General features: G+C 48.5%; 2 protein-coding genes across 6 annotated transcripts in view, besides 3 other annotated features; one reads left to right on the top strand and one right to left on the bottom strand.

Moving 5' to 3' along the window:
* Window positions 1–16,452, bottom strand: part of NUDC (nuclear distribution C, dynein complex regulator) — a 46,711-nt gene that overhangs the window by 28,530 nt on the left and 1,729 nt on the right. For 2 of the 4 annotated variants that reach the window (XM_047439143.1, XM_024452486.2), the window contains exons 2-3: window positions 15,976–16,060; window positions 7,107–7,214 (exon numbers count right to left, since the gene is read on the bottom strand). In XM_047439143.1, the coding sequence (XP_047295099.1) occupies window positions 7,107–7,199 (93 nt within the window). In that variant the 5' untranslated portion in view covers window positions 7,200–7,214; window positions 15,976–16,060. The remainder of the gene's footprint in view (window positions 1–7,106; window positions 7,215–15,975; window positions 16,061–16,452) is intronic. The other 2 variants (XM_047439206.1, XM_047439200.1) reach the window with 1 other exon arrangement.
* Window positions 2,400–2,900: an enhancer, noted in NCBI's record as "H3K27ac hESC enhancer chr1:27241933-27242433 (GRCh37/hg19 assembly coordinates)". NCBI's record gives its function as "activates a minimal SCP1, AML or CMV promoter by ChIP-STARR-seq in primed H9 embryonic stem cells {active_cell/tissue: H9 hESC(primed)}" and the evidence as "EXISTENCE:reporter gene assay evidence [ECO:0000049][PMID:30033119]".
* NR0B2 (nuclear receptor subfamily 0 group B member 2) lies at window positions 4,367–6,853 on the top strand. Of its 2 annotated transcripts, none has more exons than NM_021969.3 (2): window positions 4,367–4,933; window positions 6,256–6,853. In NM_021969.3, the coding sequence occupies exons 1-2, from the start codon at window positions 4,402–4,404 to the stop codon at window positions 6,495–6,497; spliced, it is 774 nt and encodes a 257-aa protein (NP_068804.1). In that variant the 5' UTR covers window positions 4,367–4,401; the 3' UTR covers window positions 6,498–6,853. The 2 variants fall into 2 exon arrangements, with proteins under 2 accessions (NP_068804.1, XP_011540599.1); XM_011542297.4 differs by having other exon boundaries at window positions 5,938–6,853.
* Window positions 11,681–12,182: an enhancer, noted in NCBI's record as "H3K27ac hESC enhancer chr1:27232651-27233152 (GRCh37/hg19 assembly coordinates)". NCBI's record gives its function as "activates a minimal SCP1, AML or CMV promoter by ChIP-STARR-seq in naive and primed H9 embryonic stem cells {active_cell/tissue: H9 hESC(naive and primed)}" and the evidence as "EXISTENCE:reporter gene assay evidence [ECO:0000049][PMID:30033119]".
* Window positions 12,220–12,720: an enhancer, noted in NCBI's record as "H3K27ac hESC enhancer chr1:27232113-27232613 (GRCh37/hg19 assembly coordinates)". NCBI's record gives its function as "activates a minimal SCP1, AML or CMV promoter by ChIP-STARR-seq in primed H9 embryonic stem cells {active_cell/tissue: H9 hESC(primed)}" and the evidence as "EXISTENCE:reporter gene assay evidence [ECO:0000049][PMID:30033119]".

Below are 16,452 nucleotides of genomic sequence, written 5' to 3'. Positions count from 1 at the left end.
AGATTGGGCCTCTGGGCCTGGGTGACAGTGAGACTCCGTCTCAAAAAAAAAAAAAAAAAAAAGAATCACTTGAACCCTGAGGCAGAGGTTGCAGTGAGTCAAGATCACTCCACTGCGCTCCAGCAGCTGGGGGATACAGCATGACCCTGTCTCAAAAAAAAAAAAAAAAGATAAATCAAGAATAATGGACACCAGATTCCTCGGTGTGAAAGACAGGAAGTATAAATACACAAGGGGCAAAAACTAGAATGAACCCCATGATATGAGCTTGGAATTGGAGATGATAGTCTGAATTCATGTTGTTTAGTATGTATAATTATAGAAATAAATATAATTGTAAATGTGTGTGTGTGTGTGTGTGTGTGTGTACACATTCATTAGCTCTAGGAAGGACTGGGAGTAGTGACCCTCATAACAATGAACAGTTCTGGTTTCTTCTTCTTTTTTTTTTTTTTGAGACGCAGTCTCACTCTTGTCGCCTAGGCTGGAGTGCAGTGGTGGGATCTTGGCTCACTGCAACTTCCGCTTCCCAGGTTCAAGCGATTCTCCTGCCTCAGCCTCCCAAGTAGCTGGGATTACAGGTATGCACCACCATGTCTGGCTAATTTTTGTATTTTTAGTAGAGACAGTTTTACCATGTTGGCCAGGCCGGTCTCAAATTCCTGGCCTCAAGTGATCCGGCCACCTCAGCTTCCCAAAGTGCTGAGATTACAGGCGTGAGCCACCATGCCCAGGTGGTTTCTTTTATTTATTTATTTTTATTTATTATTAGTATTTTTAGAAAGAGTCTCACTGTGTCTCACCCAGTCTAGGCTGCAGTGGCATGATCTCAGCTCACTGAAACCTCTGCCTCCTGGGTTCAAGCGATTCTCCTACCTCAGCCTCCCGAAAAGCTGGGACTACAGGCGTGCACCACCATACCCAGCTGATTTTTGTATGTTTAGTAGAGATGGAGTTTTGCCATGTTGGCCAGGCTGGTCTCGAACTCCTGACCTCAGGTGATCCATCCGCCTCGGCCTCCCAAAGTGCTGGGATTACAGGTGTGAACCCCCACATCCAGCCCTATTATTATTATTATTATTTTGAGACAAGGTCTCACTCCGTTGCCCAGTCTGGAGTGCAGTGGCACTATCTTGGCTCCCTGCAACCTCTGCCTCCCAGGTTCAAGCTATCCTCCCGCTTCAGCCTCTCTAGTAGCTGGGACTACAGGGGCATGCCACCATGTCTGACTCATTTTTGTATTTTTAGAAGAAACAAGATTTCACCATGTTGGCCAGGCTGGTCTCGAACTCCTGACCTCAGGTGATCTGCCTGTCTTGGTCTCCCAAAGTGCTGGGGATTACAGGCGTGAGCCACCACGCCTGATTTTTATTTATTTATCTATTTTTAGTCAGGGTCTCACTCTGTTGCCCAGGCTAGAGTGCAGTGGCATGATCACAGCTCACTGCAGCCTTGCCCTCCTGGATTCAAGCAATCCTCCCACCTTAGTCTTTCGAGTAGCTGGAACTATAGGTGTGCACTACCTACCTAGCTAATTTTTGTATTTTTTTGTAGAGATGGGGTTTCACCATGTTTCCAAGCTGGTCTTGAGCTCCTGGGCTCAAGCAGCTCACCCACTGCAGCCCCCAAAGTCCAGATTACAGGTGTGAGCCACCGTGCCCGGCCAGTTCTTGGTTTTTTAGTATGATTCTAGTGCCTACTTCATGCTTTCTAAATATTATTTTCCACTAAAAGATTAAATCAGAGCTCTTTGGAGTATTGGTTGATTCCAGGGGCTGGAAAAGTTGATATCTTGCTATACCAGAAAGCAAGTGTTCCAGGAATTATGGAAGCAGGCCAAAATGACACAGACACCAGCTTGAAAGGGTTCCCATTGACCACATTGATCAAATAAATATAAATATTCAGGGTCTAAGGGGAGGTTTTGTGTGTGGGGTTTTTTCGTTTTTTTTTAGACAGAGTCTTGCTCTGTCTAGAGCAAGGCAGGAGGGCAGTAACACAGTCATAACTCACTGTAGCCTTGAAGTCCTGGGCTCAAACCATCCTCTTGCCTCAGCCTCTCAAGTAGTTGGGACTACAGATATGCCCCACCACACTGGCTAATTTTTTTTTTTTGGTAGAGATGAGGTCTCACTGTGTTGACCAGGCTGATCTTGAACTCCTGAAGCCTCAAGTGATCCTCCCACCTCAACTTCCCAAAGTGCTGTGATTACAGGCGTGAGCCACCGTAACCGAGTGTGTATTCTATTCTTAAAGAGGGTCCTCCAAATCGTAACCTTCAGGCCCCATAAAACCAATATCCACCTCCAGAAATTCTTGTCACTGTTTTAAAAATGAGGAAACTGAGGCACAGAAAGAGAAAGTGATTTGCCCAAGGTCACTCAGCTAAGTGAAGCAGGATTTGAACCCAGCCAGTCTGACTCCAGAGTCTGCTTCAAGGGGACACTGTGAGAATTCAGTGAGATTTAAAAACATGAAAGGAACTTTATAAATTTAAGGATTAAGACTAATAATCAAATGAAAGAGGTGTGCCTGTTTGTCCACTGGTGCTCAGCTCCACAGAGGAAAGGGGCAGAAAAATCCTCCTACCGTATGCCAGAAACCACTTGGAATTTAACAACCAGGACCTCATTTTGTCCCCATGGCAGCCCTACAGCCAGGCATTATTGTCCCAGGGAGGCTTATCGAGGTTCAAGGATCAACCCAAGTCACATAACCAAAAAGTGATGGATTCTGGAGCAGATGCCAGGGCTAGTGATGCCAGAGCCTCTCTCTCCCCATCCAGGGCACCAGGCTGCCCAACAGCATGCAGCAGAAGGCTTGCCACACTGGACTGGCCAAGGTCCAGGAACATGACACAACCAAGGGCCTCTCCACCTTCTCTCATCCCCTGTGCTCCACCATCTGAGAAAGATGCCCGGGACAGAGGAGCCACGTGGCAGCAGAGCAACACTTCTGCCCAGATCACAAGTGGGCAACGTCTGCAAAGCAGGCAGCAGCAAGGTGGGGGCAGCTAGCCACAAGCTCTGAGAATCTCAGGCTCTGGCTGTGCAATTGGGCCAGTGGGTCCAGGGAAACAAACAAGGACTTTGGAGTCAGGCAAGATCTGGGCTTTGTCTTCCTGGTGGGATGACCTTGGGCAAGTCACTTTAGCTTTTTTAGTCTCATAAAGTAAGAATCTAGCCTTAGGAAGAGGCTGCCAATATTAGAGTGGGAAGTGCCTGACACATAATAAGTGCTTAGAGAATGGCAACCATATATATACATATATATATATATATATGTATGTATGTATGTGTATATATATATACACATATACATATAAATATACATATACATATACATATACATATACATATACATATATATTTTTTTGAGACAGGATCTTGCTCTGTTGCCCAGGCTGGAGAGCAGTGGCATGATCTCAGCTCACTGTAACCTCTGCCTCCCAGTTTCGAGTGATTCTTTTGCCTTAGCCTCTAGAGTAGCTGGGACTACAGGCACATGCCACCATGCCCGGCTAATTTTTGTATTTTTAGTAGAGACGGGATTTTGCCATGTTGGCCAGGCTGGTCTTGAACTCCTGACCTCAAATGATCCCCCTTCCTCAGCCTCCCAAAGTGCTGGGATTACAGGCATGAGCCACCGTGCCCGGCTGGCAACTATCTTTTATTATAATTCTGTGAGTTCTTCTCAGCAGACCTGGCCTTTCAGGAGTGGTAGGAATCAGGCTGGGGATAAGGATTCTGAAGGACCTTATTCCTGCAGGGGGCCCAGAACTGGAATCAGAGGAGGAGGCCTCCTAGATTGGACAGTGGGCAAAGTCCTCCCAGCCCCCAGGGTCCTGGCTCCCTTCCCTGTAGCCTGCTTCTGGCTGACAACAGAAGCAGGGCCCCAAGGTTAGGCAAACAAGCTAGTGATAAGGCACTTCCAGGTTGGGCCTTGCATTCAAGGCCCACCCAGCTCTGGGGCTGGCTTCCTGGCTTAGCAAAAGCCCTAGTCTTTTGTGCACACAAGAGCGGGCACCAATGGGGACACCTGCTGATTGTGCACCTGGGGCCTTGGTGCCCTGGTACAGCCTGAGTTAATGACCTTGTTTATCCACTTGAGTCATCTGATAAGGGGCAGCTGAGTGAGCGGCAGGTGGCCCTGTGCCCTGCACCGGCCACTTCATTGACTGAGGTGATATCAGTGCCACGTGGGGTTCCCAATGCCCCCTCCCCCACCACTTCCCCACCATTCCTGCCAGGGGCAATGTCTGTGTGTTTTTTTCAATGAACATGACTTCTGGAGTCAAGGTTGTTGGGCCATTCCCCCCGTTCCACTCACTGGGAATATAAATAGCACCCACAGCGCAGAACACAGAGCCAGAGAGCTGGAAGTGAGAGCAGATCCCTAACCATGAGCACCAGCCAACCAGGGGCCTGCCCATGCCAGGGAGCTGCAAGCCGCCCCGCCATTCTCTACGCACTTCTGAGCTCCAGCCTCAAGGCTGTCCCCCGACCCCGTAGCCGCTGCCTATGTAGGCAGCACCGGCCCGTCCAGCTATGTGCACCTCATCGCACCTGCCGGGAGGCCTTGGATGTTCTGGCCAAGACAGTGGCCTTCCTCAGGAACCTGCCATCCTTCTGGCAGCTGCCTCCCCAGGACCAGCGGCGGCTGCTGCAGGGTTGCTGGGGCCCCCTCTTCCTGCTTGGGTTGGCCCAAGATGCTGTGACCTTTGAGGTGGCTGAGGCCCCGGTGCCCAGCATACTCAAGAAGATTCTGCTGGAGGAGCCCAGCAGCAGTGGAGGCAGTGGCCAACTGCCAGACAGACCCCAGCCCTCCCTGGCTGCGGTGCAGTGGCTTCAATGCTGTCTGGAGTCCTTCTGGAGCCTGGAGCTTAGCCCCAAGGAATATGCCTGCCTGAAAGGGACCATCCTCTTCAACCCCGGTGAGCTCCCAGACACTCCTGGGTGGGGGGCAAGGCTGAAGCAGGGGCCAGCCAGGGAAGGTAGCTTCTAAGGGTTTGATATCTGTTATCTCATTGGGTCCTCATTTTCTTTTTATTTTTCTGAGACAGAGTCTCACTCTGTCACCCAGTCTGGAGTGCAGTGGTGCGATCTTGGCTCACTGCAACCTCTGCCTCCTGGGTTCAAGCAATTTTCTCTGCCTCAGCCTCCCGAGTAGCTGGGATTACAGATGGCCGCCACCACTCCCGGCTAATTTTTGTACTTTTTAGTAGAGATGGGCTTTCACCATGTTGATCAAGCTGGTCTTGAACTCCTAACCCCTCAGGTGATCCACCCACCTTGGCCTCCCAAAGTGCTGGGATTACAGGCGTGAGCCACCGTGCTTGGCCAGTCCTCATTTTCATCAAATAGCCATCTCACAGAAGAGGCACAGAGAAGCTAAGTGACTAGCTAAAGGTAACACAGCCAGGTAGGGACAGACCAGGATGGCAACTCAGGTCTATTCACTCCAGAGACTGGCCCTTGCCACTCTGCCTGAGAAATTTGCTCTGACCTTTACAGAAGGCTGTGGGGAGGTGGGGTGGGCAGACACAGCTGTGTCTCAGTCACATCCTCAAAGGAAGGCTGCATGGTGAAGCTCTAGAGCTAAAACTCCTCTGTGGGTTCAGAAAGATCACATAGAAGAGATGACTGAAAGGGGCGTAGGGAGGACAGGAAAGGAGTCTTTATGGAATTCGGCCAGGAGAGCGGCAGATGGAGACAGTGCTGTTTGTAATCTGGAGAGCATCTGAGATGAGAGTTCCCCAGGAGTCCCTTGTGGCACGCATAAATCGTAGTAATTAATTGTAATAATAGTAGCAAATACTCATATCACACTTACCATATGTTAGGCCCTATTCTAAGGGTTTTACATATACTAGTTCATTTAAATCTCATAAAAGCCTAGGAGACAGGTCCTATTAATATTATTATTCCCGTTTTACAGATAAAGAAACTGAAGCCCAGAGATTAAGTGACTTGCCCAAGGTCACCCAGCTAATAAGTGACAGTGCTGGGATTCATACCCAGGAAGCCTAATTCTTAACCATTACTCCACACTGCCTCTTCATAAATGGATGGATGAATACATTGAAAATTGATAAATAAATTACCTCCTCTAAAGGAGGAGGTAGTAGTGGGACCTCAAAGGCCGAGCAAAGGAGGCAGAGGGGTGTCTCTGATGGCCCAGATCTTGGGCCAGTCTTGTCCTTTGGTGGCTGGGAGTAGGGTGCTCACCAGCCCTCTTCTCCCTCTCTGCCCACAGATGTGCCAGGCCTCCAAGCCGCCTCCCACATTGGGCACCTGCAGCAGGAGGCTCACTGGGTGCTGTGTGAAGTCCTGGAACCCTGGTGCCCAGCAGCCCAAGGCCGCCTGACCCGTGTCCTCCTCACGGCCTCCACCCTCAAGTCCATTCCGACCAGCCTGCTTGGGGACCTCTTCTTTCGCCCTATCATTGGAGATGTTGACATCGCTGGCCTTCTTGGGGACATGCTTTTGCTCAGGTGACCTGTTCCAGCCCAGGCAGAGATCAGGTGGGCAGAGGCTGGCAGTGCTGATTCAGCCTGGCCATCCCCAGAGGTGACCCAATGCTCCTGGAGGGGGCAAGCCTGTATAGACAGCACTTGGCTCCTTAGGAACAGCTCTTCACTCAGCCACACCCCACATTGGACTTCCTTGGTTTGGACACAGTGTTCCAGCTGCCTGGGAGGCTTTTGGTGGTCCCCACAGCCTCTGGGCCAAGACTCCTGTCCCTTCTTGGGATGAGAATGAAAGCTTAGGCTGCTTATTGGACCAGAAGTCCTATCGACTTTATACAGAACTGAATTAAGTTATTGATTTTTGTAATAAAAGGTATGAAACACTTGGAGCCTGATACTGTCATTTGTGCATATGGAAGGGACTGTCTCACCTCCAGGGCCCACCCTGCTGCTATCAGAGGTAGCCCAAGGGAAAAAATCCACAGGGTTGCTGGAGCTAATTTTCCAGGGAACAGTATCAGTTCACAATCCCATCACCTCATTGTCTTTATCCTCAGGGGAAGGAGGTTGCTCTCCCATTCCCAAACCCTTCACTAACCGCTCCCCTGGCTCCTACCCACTTCAGGCGCCCTCTTACCACAGTGAAAGCCCAATCACAGCCAATCAGGAAGCAGCCCACTCCCGAATTGAAACAGACAAGTTCACTGCCATTTCTGTAGTTTGAGATCATTCACTTCCCCCATTCCTGCAGATGACAAAAGAGAGTGGTCCATTATTTTCCCAAAGGGAAGGGACAAGGGTACCCAGGGCTGGCCTGGCAACTGCTTGAAGGCCAAGGCAGACCAAGGTTTAGCTGGACCACCAGGATTTGACTACATCAGTTGTTTAAGTCTGAAACCCTTCCATGACACTTGGCTCACAGCCACCACCCTGAGGCCTCCCCAGTTTCCTTCCCTGCCCCTCTGCCCCAGCCCCTCTCCTGGGATTCTCCTCCCAGACATTCCCACTGTCTAGCAACTAAAGAGGCAACTCTTGGCATAGCCATGACCTCCCTGACTGCTCCATTCAGAATATGACTTGTGTCTATTCTGACTGGTCAATATCTGTGCCTCACTGTTTGTTAAATATTTTGACCCAGTTGCCATGGGTCAGGGTGAGTGACCTGAAGGGTGGGCAGGAAGGAGTGATAACAACACACATGCCTATAGGATTTTCCGGCCTCCCCCTTTCACCCGCAGTAAGTCCTGCCCTGACCAGTCCCCACCCTCTTCACCATAACAGTTTGGATTCTTGTCACAGGGGCCAAGTTAATGATTGCTCAATAAGAGGCCATTCACTTGGGGATAACAGTCTAGGCGTCATCATTCAGGCCTTTCTCTAAGCCCCCCAGGTTAGGACTATAGCTAATTGGCCTCGTACCCATTATGGTGACCCAGTGCCAGGAGCAAGGGGAACCCTGTCCCTTACCCAGCCTCTCACTCACAAGTCAGACACCAGATAGAGACAAAAACACAGCTGAGATCTCACACAAATACAAACAACACAACTTGGACACCCCCCAACACACACATACTAAGATGTACAACTCAGGCACACCTACACAGACGCATAAAACAGACTCTCCAACCACCCACTTATAGCCCAGAAAAGCACTGCCCAGATACAGTCACTCAGCAATGTACTGCAGACCCCCACACAGTCACACAGCAGAAGCACGCACCCTTGCACCTGAGGGTGGGGCACACAGTGGGGAGACACCCCCATGCCAGAGTGTGTTCATCTTCCCTGCGTCATAGTAAAGGGAAAAGTGGCCCCCTAAGTAGGCAGACCTGTGTCTGTGCATCTTCAGGATCCTCTTGGAGTCTGTGAGCCCAGGCCAAACTGCTCTGCCTGGCATTTGGGACCCCAGCTAACCATTCATCCTCTTTCCCCCTGGTGACTTCAATGTCCCTCCTCCTCTCAGCTCAACAACTGTCCCCACCAGGACCTAATCAAATCCCCAATAAAGGCATCCTTCAGGGCCCAGAACAAGCCCTGTATCCCCCCACCTCCCACCAGATGCCCCAAACTCAGACCTCAGGCCCCCAGGACTCTCTCTGACCTGCCCTCCCCATCCCTCTGGCACATACCACCCCGTGTAACCTTGTAGACACATGAGACCACTCTTTCAAGAGCAGAAGCCCTGTTTCCCACATAGGACCCAAATCCAGAAGATTCAGGGATTTAGGGTCATTCTATATCTTTTATGCCCTACCAGTTTCTGCCTCTATTAGTTAATTGCCACATCTCTCTGAATCCTCAAGCTGGGTCTTCCCACCTCTTACCCTTCTCCTTCTCCGGCCCTGAACAACCTTTAGGAAGCATTCCTCTCTATGCCCCACCCTAGGCTTTTTCCCTCAACTTATTTAATTTTTTCCATCATCCAAACAGCTTCCCTTATTAACTCTACCTTGCCAGGCACCACTGATGGCTCATGCCTGTCATCCCAGCACTTTGGGAGGCTGAGGTGATAGGATCGCTTGAGCCCAGGAGTTCAAGATCAGCCTGGGCAATGTAATGAGACTCCTGCCTCTACAAAAAATTATAAAATTAGCTAGGGGCCGGGCTCAGTGGCTCACACCTGTAATCCCAGCACTTTTGGAGGCCAAGCCAGGCGGATCACCTGAGGTTAGGAGTTCAAGACGAGCCTGGCCAACATGGTGAAACCCTGTCTCTACTAAAAATACAAAAATTAGCCAGGCATGGCAGCACTCACCTGTAATCGCAGCTACTTGGGAGGCTGAGACAGGAGAATCGGTTGAACCTGGGAGGTGGAGGTTGCAGTGAGCCGAGATCGCACCACTGCACTCCAGCTTGGGCGACAGAGTGAGACTCTGTCTCAAAAAAATTAAAAAATAAGGCCAGGCGGATCACGAGGTCGGAGTTCAAGACCAGCCTGGCCAAGATGGTGAAACACCGTCTCTACTAAAACAAAAATTAGCCAGGTGCGGTGGCTCCCAGCTACTCGGGAGGCCGAGGCACGAAAATCACTTGAACCCAGGTGGCAGAGGTTGCAGTGAATCGAGATTGCACCACTGCACTCCAGCCTGGGCGACAAAGTGAGACTCCATCTCAAAAAATAAATAAATAAAAGTAAAATAAAATAAAGTAAGCTAGGTATGGTGGCTTATGTCTGTAGTCCCAGCCACTCGAGAGGCTGAAGTGGGAGGATCACTTGAGCTGGGAGTTGGAGGCTGCAGTGAGCATGGGAGCATCACTGCACTCCAGCCTGGGTGACAGAGCAAGACCCTGTCTCAAAACAAATAAAAAAACAACAAGAAAAATCTCTACCTTGATCCTTTTCAAATTTCTTCCCTACCAATCCACATGGTTGGGGAGCTACACTTCTGTTTCTTGTCTGCGTTTCTTGAGTCATTCCCCGTGCCCTATTTCCTTGCCTTGAGCAAAGAACATAAAGACAAATATGGCAAAACTAAAGAGATAATTACGGTACAATGTGGTAAGGGGAATCGTGCTTTCTCCATGAGACTGTAGGCTTTCCAAAAGTGGGGAAGTATGTCTCCATGATCAGCATCCTGGGTTGGGATCTGTGTCTCATTGCCAGTGAGGGAAGAGGAGGAAACAGGCTCAGATGGCGTATGTAACTTAAGGTCTGGGCTGATCACTGTCTGTGCTAAGACTCTTTTTTTTTTTTAGATGGAGTTTCACTCTTGCTGCCCAGGCTGGAGTGCAGTGGCGCGATCTCGGCTCACTGCAACCTCCGCCTCCCGGGTTCAAGCAATTCCGTTGCTTCAGCCTCCCAAGTAGCTGGGATTACAGGCACCCACCACCACGCCTGGCTAATTTTTGTATTTTTAGTAGAGACAGAGTTTCACGATGTTGGCCAGGCTAGTCTCAAACTCCTGACCTCAGGTGATCCACCTGCCTTGGCCTTCCAAAGTGCTGGGATTACAGGCATGAGCCACCGCACCTGGCCTGTGCTGAGACTTGTACTCAAACCTGTGAAGTTCTGGAGGGTTCTTGTCAGCAGCACAAGCTGGAGTGAGTCATGGCCAGGATCAAGCGGTCTGGAACCAGCTCAGCCACTGTTGACTGACCATCTACCTCTGAGCCATGATTCCTGTCCTCAGGCCCAGCCAGGGATGACTCACTGGAAAGCAGGAGAGTGGCTGTGGCTCTGGGTCAGCCTAGAGTACCATTTTATTGCCATCATTATCTCTATCTTCATTAGCCAAATCGTTGACTGCCTATTAAGTAGTCAGACAGCTGACGCATGCTGTGTCCCGCATTAACTCCACCCTGTCCTTGGGGCATTCAAATATCCTAGAACCCGTGATGCTGGCAAAAAGCCAACACCCACTATCCATCCATTAATTCATTCTATCACTCAATGTCTCTCAACCTCCATTTGTACCAACCCCTGTACTAGATGCTGGGGTAGGGGGCACAGAATAAATAAGATACATTTCTTACTCTCATGAAACATCTTGTCTGTGGCAGAGGAAGACATGTAAGTAATTGTAATGCAGAGTGATCTGAGCTGTGATAGGGGTACATACAACAGGCAACAGGAGAGATTAAATCTGCCTGAAGGTGGGAAAAATGCTTTACCCAAGTGGTGACTGGTTTGAGCTAAAGAGAATGAACAGGGTTTTGCTAGGCAACCCAAGGGATGGGCATTCCAAACAGATATATGCAAAGGCACAGAGATGTCAGAGAGCAAGAGGTGCTTAGTTAACTGCAAGTGATGTGTGGGGCCCAGGGTAGGAGGAAATGGGCCTGGAGAGATGACAGGGACCACCTCACAGAACAAGACAGCAAAGAAAGGAAATCCCAATGAAACTGGTGGAGGCGACAATGCTAAGATCTCAGGGGAGTCAGAGTTAACAAAGGAGACCTCCTCTTCCTGGCAGGGTATGGCCAGAAGAAACCCCAGGCTGTGGGTGCTCACTCTGGGTAGCTACTAAACTATAACCACATTAACATTTATTTATTTATTTATTTTTATTATTATTATTTTTTTTGAGACGGAGTCTTGCTCATTCGCCCAGGCTGGAGTGCAGTGGTGCAATCTCAGCTCACTGCAAGCTCCACTTCCCGGGTTCACACCATTCTCCTGCCTCAGCCTCCCGAGTAGCTGGGACTACAGGCGCCCGCCACCACGCCCGGCCAATTTTTTGTATTTTTAGTAGAGACAGGGTTTCACCATGTTAGCCAGGATGGTCTTGATCTCCTGACCTCATGATCCGCCTGCCTTGGCCTCCCAAAGTGCTGGGATTACGGGTGTGAGCCACCACGCCCGGCCCACGTAACATTTATTGAGAGCTGTGCTCTAAACACATTTCCTGGATTATGGTATTTCACTCTCACAACTCTGTGCTGGAAGTACTATCATTATCTCCAACCGCTTTATCTTTCTTTTTGAGACACAGTCTCATTCTGTTGCCCAGGGTGGAGTGCTGTGGTGCGATCTCGGCTCACTGCAACCTCCTGGGTTCAAGCGGTTCTTGTGCCTCAGTTTCCCGAGTAGCTGGGATTACAGGCATGCGCCACCACACCCAGCTAATGCTTTTTGTATTTTTTCGTTTTTTTTTGAGACAGAGTCTCACTCTCTTGCCCAGGGTGGAGTTCAGTGGCGCGATCTCAGCTCACCGCAACCTCCACCTCCCAGATTCAAATGATTCTCCTGCCCAACCTCCCAAGTAGCTGGGATTACAGGCATGCGCCACCACGCCCTGCTAATTGTGTATTTTTAGTAGAGACGGGGTTTCTACATTTGGTCAGGCTGGTCTCAAGCTCCCAACCTCAGGTGATCCGCCCGCCTCGCCCTCCCAAAGTGCTGGGATTACAGGCGTGAGCCACTGCGCTCGGCCTTTTATGTATTTTTTAGTAAAGGCGGGGTTTCACCATGTTAGCCAGGTTGGTCTCAAAGTCCTGACCTCAGGTGATCCACCCACCTCCACCTCCCAAGGTGCTGAGATTATAGGCATGAGCCACTATGCCCGGCCTCCATCCATTTTATAGACAAAGAAACTCAAGGAGTGAAGGATGTGCCAATGTGCCAAACTGGTATCTTGATCATTTTGGGTTGAAAATCTTGGAGAAATTGTAGTTTCAGAAAGGGTGAGCTGACCTGCCTCTTCCTGCATGCAGCAAGCCATCAAGATTCCTCTGTGAGGGATACCCTCCCTATACCAGGGCAAAAAATTACCCCTGATTACCAGAGACTGGGAACTCGGGGCTGCAACGGACCTGAATAAATATACTTTTCAAAGTAACCCTTATCTTCCACTAGTTTTACACTTCCACCTCAAATATCTCCTCATCACTCACCTAGAAATTTACTGCCCCTAGCCAGATGTCCCTTGTCCTGTGACTTCTCAAATTTATTGTTGTCTAAAAAGTATAAAAGCATCTTGTGGCTGGGCTCACGCCTGTAATCCCAACACTTTGGGAGGCTGAGGCAGGAGGATCACCTGAGGTCTGGAGTTCGAGACCAGCCTGGCCAGCATGGTGAAACCCCGTCTCTACTAAAAATACAAAAATTAGCCAGGCGTGTTGGCAGGTTCCTGTAATCCCAGCTACTTGGGAAGCTGAGGCAGGAGAATCGCCTGAACCCAGGAGGCGGAGGTTGCAGTGAGCCGAGATGGTGCCATTGCACTCCAGCCTAGGCAACAGAGTGAGGCTCTGTCTCAAAAAAAAAAAAAAAAAAAAATAATAATAATAATAATAATAGGCCAGGCTCAGTCGCTCACGCCTGTAATCCCAGCACTTTGGGAGGCCGAGGTGGGCGGATCATCTAAGGGTCAGGAGTTCGAGATCAGCCTGGCCAACATGGTGAAACCCCATCTCTACTAAAAATACAAAAATTAGCCGGGCGTGGTGGCGCATGCCTGTAATCCCAGCTACTCAGGAGGCTGATGCAGGAGAATCACTTGAACCCAGGAGGCGGAGGTTGTAGTGAGCCAAGATCTGCCTGGGCGACAGAGCAAGACTCTGTCTCAGAAAAAAAAAAAAAAATTATATAATAATAATGTATGATTTTCTCCTGTTAATTTACCATGTGTGAACTTAGTTTCTATATCCAGCAGAAGAATTCCCATAAGAGCTAAGGGGGGTTGGAGGTGATCTCTCACTCTCCTGTAGAGGTACAGAGAGATTAAGTAAAGTGCTCGAGGTTACACAGTTAATAAGTGACAGAATCAGGATTTGAGCTTAGATGATCTGTCTTCAGGGCCCATGCTCTTAAACACTATACTTGTGTCTTTAAAAGTCAGGGGTGAGCCAGGTGCAGTGTTTCAAGTCTGTTATCCCAGCTACTGGGGAGGCTGAGGCAGGGGGATGGCTTGAGGCCAGCAGTTCAAGGCTGCAGTGAGCTATGATTGCGCCAATGGACTCTAGCCTAGGCGACAGACTGAGACACTATCGCTAAAAAATATGTGTGTAATAATGAGTTGGGTGGATCACTTGAGGCCAGGAGTTCAAGATCAGCCTGGTCAACATGATGAAACCCCGTCTCTACTAAAAATACAAAAATTAGCTGGGTGTGGTGCTTGCCTGTAGTCCCAGTTACTTAGGATAGGAGGCTGAGGCAGGAGAATGGCCTGAACCCGGCAGGCAGAGGTTGCAGTGAGCCAAGATTGCATCACTGCATGCACTCCAGCCTGGGTGACAAAAAAAAAAAAAAAGTATGTAATAAAATAAAAAATAAATAAAATCCAGATATGATGTGGGTTTAAACCTAGATATAATGGTCCTATCTACAATTTCTCACTCATTAGACTTTTTTATTTTTATTTTTGTATTTTTATTTATTTATTTATTATTTATTTATTTAATTTATTTATTTATTTATTTATTTTGAGACGGAGTCTTGCTCTGTCACCCAGGCTGGAGTGCAGTGGCGCGATCTCGGCTCACTGCAAGCTCCGCCTCCCGGGTTCACACCATTCTCCTGCCTCAGCCTCCCGAGTAGCTGGGACTACAGGTGCCCGCCACCACGCCCAGCTAATTTTTTTGTATTTTTAGTAGAGATGGGGTTTCACCGTGTTAGCCAGGATGGTCTCAATCTCCTGACCTTGTGATCCGCCCACCTCGGCCTCCCAAAGTGCTGGAATTACAGGTGTGAGCCACCGCGCCCGGCTTATTTTTTATTTTTATTATTTTTTGTAGAGACAGGGTCTCACTATGTTGCCCAGGCTGGTCTCCAACTCCTGGCCTCAAGCAATCCTTCTGCCTCGGCCTCTCAAAGCGATGGGATTAGAAGCATGAGCCACCATGCCTGGCCATGTTTTCCAATTTTTAAAATTCATCATATAGCTGTATATTTGCTATCACAAGGTAACTATTGCTTTCTGAAATGAGTTATTTTCACTTTTAATATTTTTACATTTTAAACATTGAGTAAAACAAAATAATATTAATAAATATGTGTAAAGTATAAAGAATAACAGAATGAACTCTATTGTTTCATAGGTCATTATTACCATTAACTTTGAAGTCCCTTTCTAAATCTATCATTTCCCTCCAAAGGTAACAACTACCCTGGATTTTATGTTAATCATTTATTTGCTTTTCTTCCTGATTTTAAAGCTTATTTATTTATGTAGCCCTAAGAATATTTTTTAGTTTGCATTTTTGGAACTTTGCATAAATAAAACAATTCTGTGTTTTCTGACTGGCTTTAACTGAGATTATTAGTACAAAAAGCCAGCTTTTTGCACTTAAAAAGACTGTAGCTATGAATATTTATATATACTGTGAAATAAAAAACAAATCCAGGCTTGGTAAGGAGAGATTTTATTATAATTTTTTTTTTTTTGAGACAGAGTCTCGCTCTGTTGCCCAGGATGGAGTGTGCAGTGGTGTGATCTCAGCTCACTGCAACCTCCGCCTCCTGGGTTCAAGCGATTCTCGTGCCTCAGCTTCCCTGAGGAGCTGAGATTACAGGCGCATACCACCATGAGTGGCTAATTTTTGTATTTTTAGTAGAGACGGGGTTTCACCATGTTGGCCAGGCTGGTCTCGAACTCTGGACCTCAAGTGATCCGCCCACCTCAGCCTCCCAAAGTGCTGGGATTACAGGCATTAGCCACTGCGCCCAGCCATTATAATTTTTTTTTTTTTTGAGACAGATTCTCATTCTGCTGCCCACCGAATGCATGGCACAATCATGGCTCACTGCAGCCTTGCTCTCTTGGGCTCAAGTGATCCTCCGACCTCAACCTCCCGACGTGCTAAGATTACAGGTGTGAGTTACCACACCCTGCCAGGAGAGATTTTATTTGAAAGGATTATTGCAAGGGAAGAAAGGAACTATTGCAATAGAAGGAGGAAGAATATTGCAGCAGGGAGGACCCTCTGACCATAATATCTGCAAGTGACTCAAGGGTTAGGCAAAAAGGGTTCTTCTCTCATACAGAGGAGTAAACAGGGCAGAACTGGGTGGGAGGAAGTGGGATGATCAGGAGTGGCATGATGGGACAGTAGATCAGATAATGCTTTACCTTGAAGCCAGCCTATTCTCAGGAGAGGCTGTTAAGGAGGAGATGTGCGCTGGCTCAAGCTGAGGGTAAGCCAAAGTTCGGGAAGCTGGGGGAAGGAGAGAAGTTTTAACCAAAGTTTGTTCCAACTGATCAGTGGGGACAAGAAGTTCCTCAAAGCTTTCATGAGGAGATTTGGAATATGGAGTCTGTGTCTGGCTTTGTCATTGGTGAACCAGAGGGGCATACACCAGTCTTACCTAACTCACTTGGGGAAGGATGTTTTTTTGCAATATGCTGTGTTCCAGAACACAAAACAGTGGGAAGGCATTTCTTAAGCCTTAGTTTTCCAGGATCACAGGGCTTGGGTAAAAGTCAACATTATCAATAAGTCTTCTGATAAACATGTGCAGTCATTTTTTTTATTGTTTAGACAAGGGTCTTGCCAACTTGGCCAGGCTGGTCTCAAACTTCTAAGCTCAAGGGATCCTCCTACACCAG

The sequence above is a fragment of the Homo sapiens genome, chromosome 1 (genome assembly GCF_000001405.40).
Source record: "Homo sapiens chromosome 1, GRCh38.p14 Primary Assembly".
NCBI lineage: Eukaryota > Metazoa > Chordata > Mammalia > Primates > Hominidae > Homo > Homo sapiens.
The sequence above is the reverse complement of the archived record's forward strand: the minus strand, read 5'-3'. Positions and strand labels throughout refer to the sequence as shown.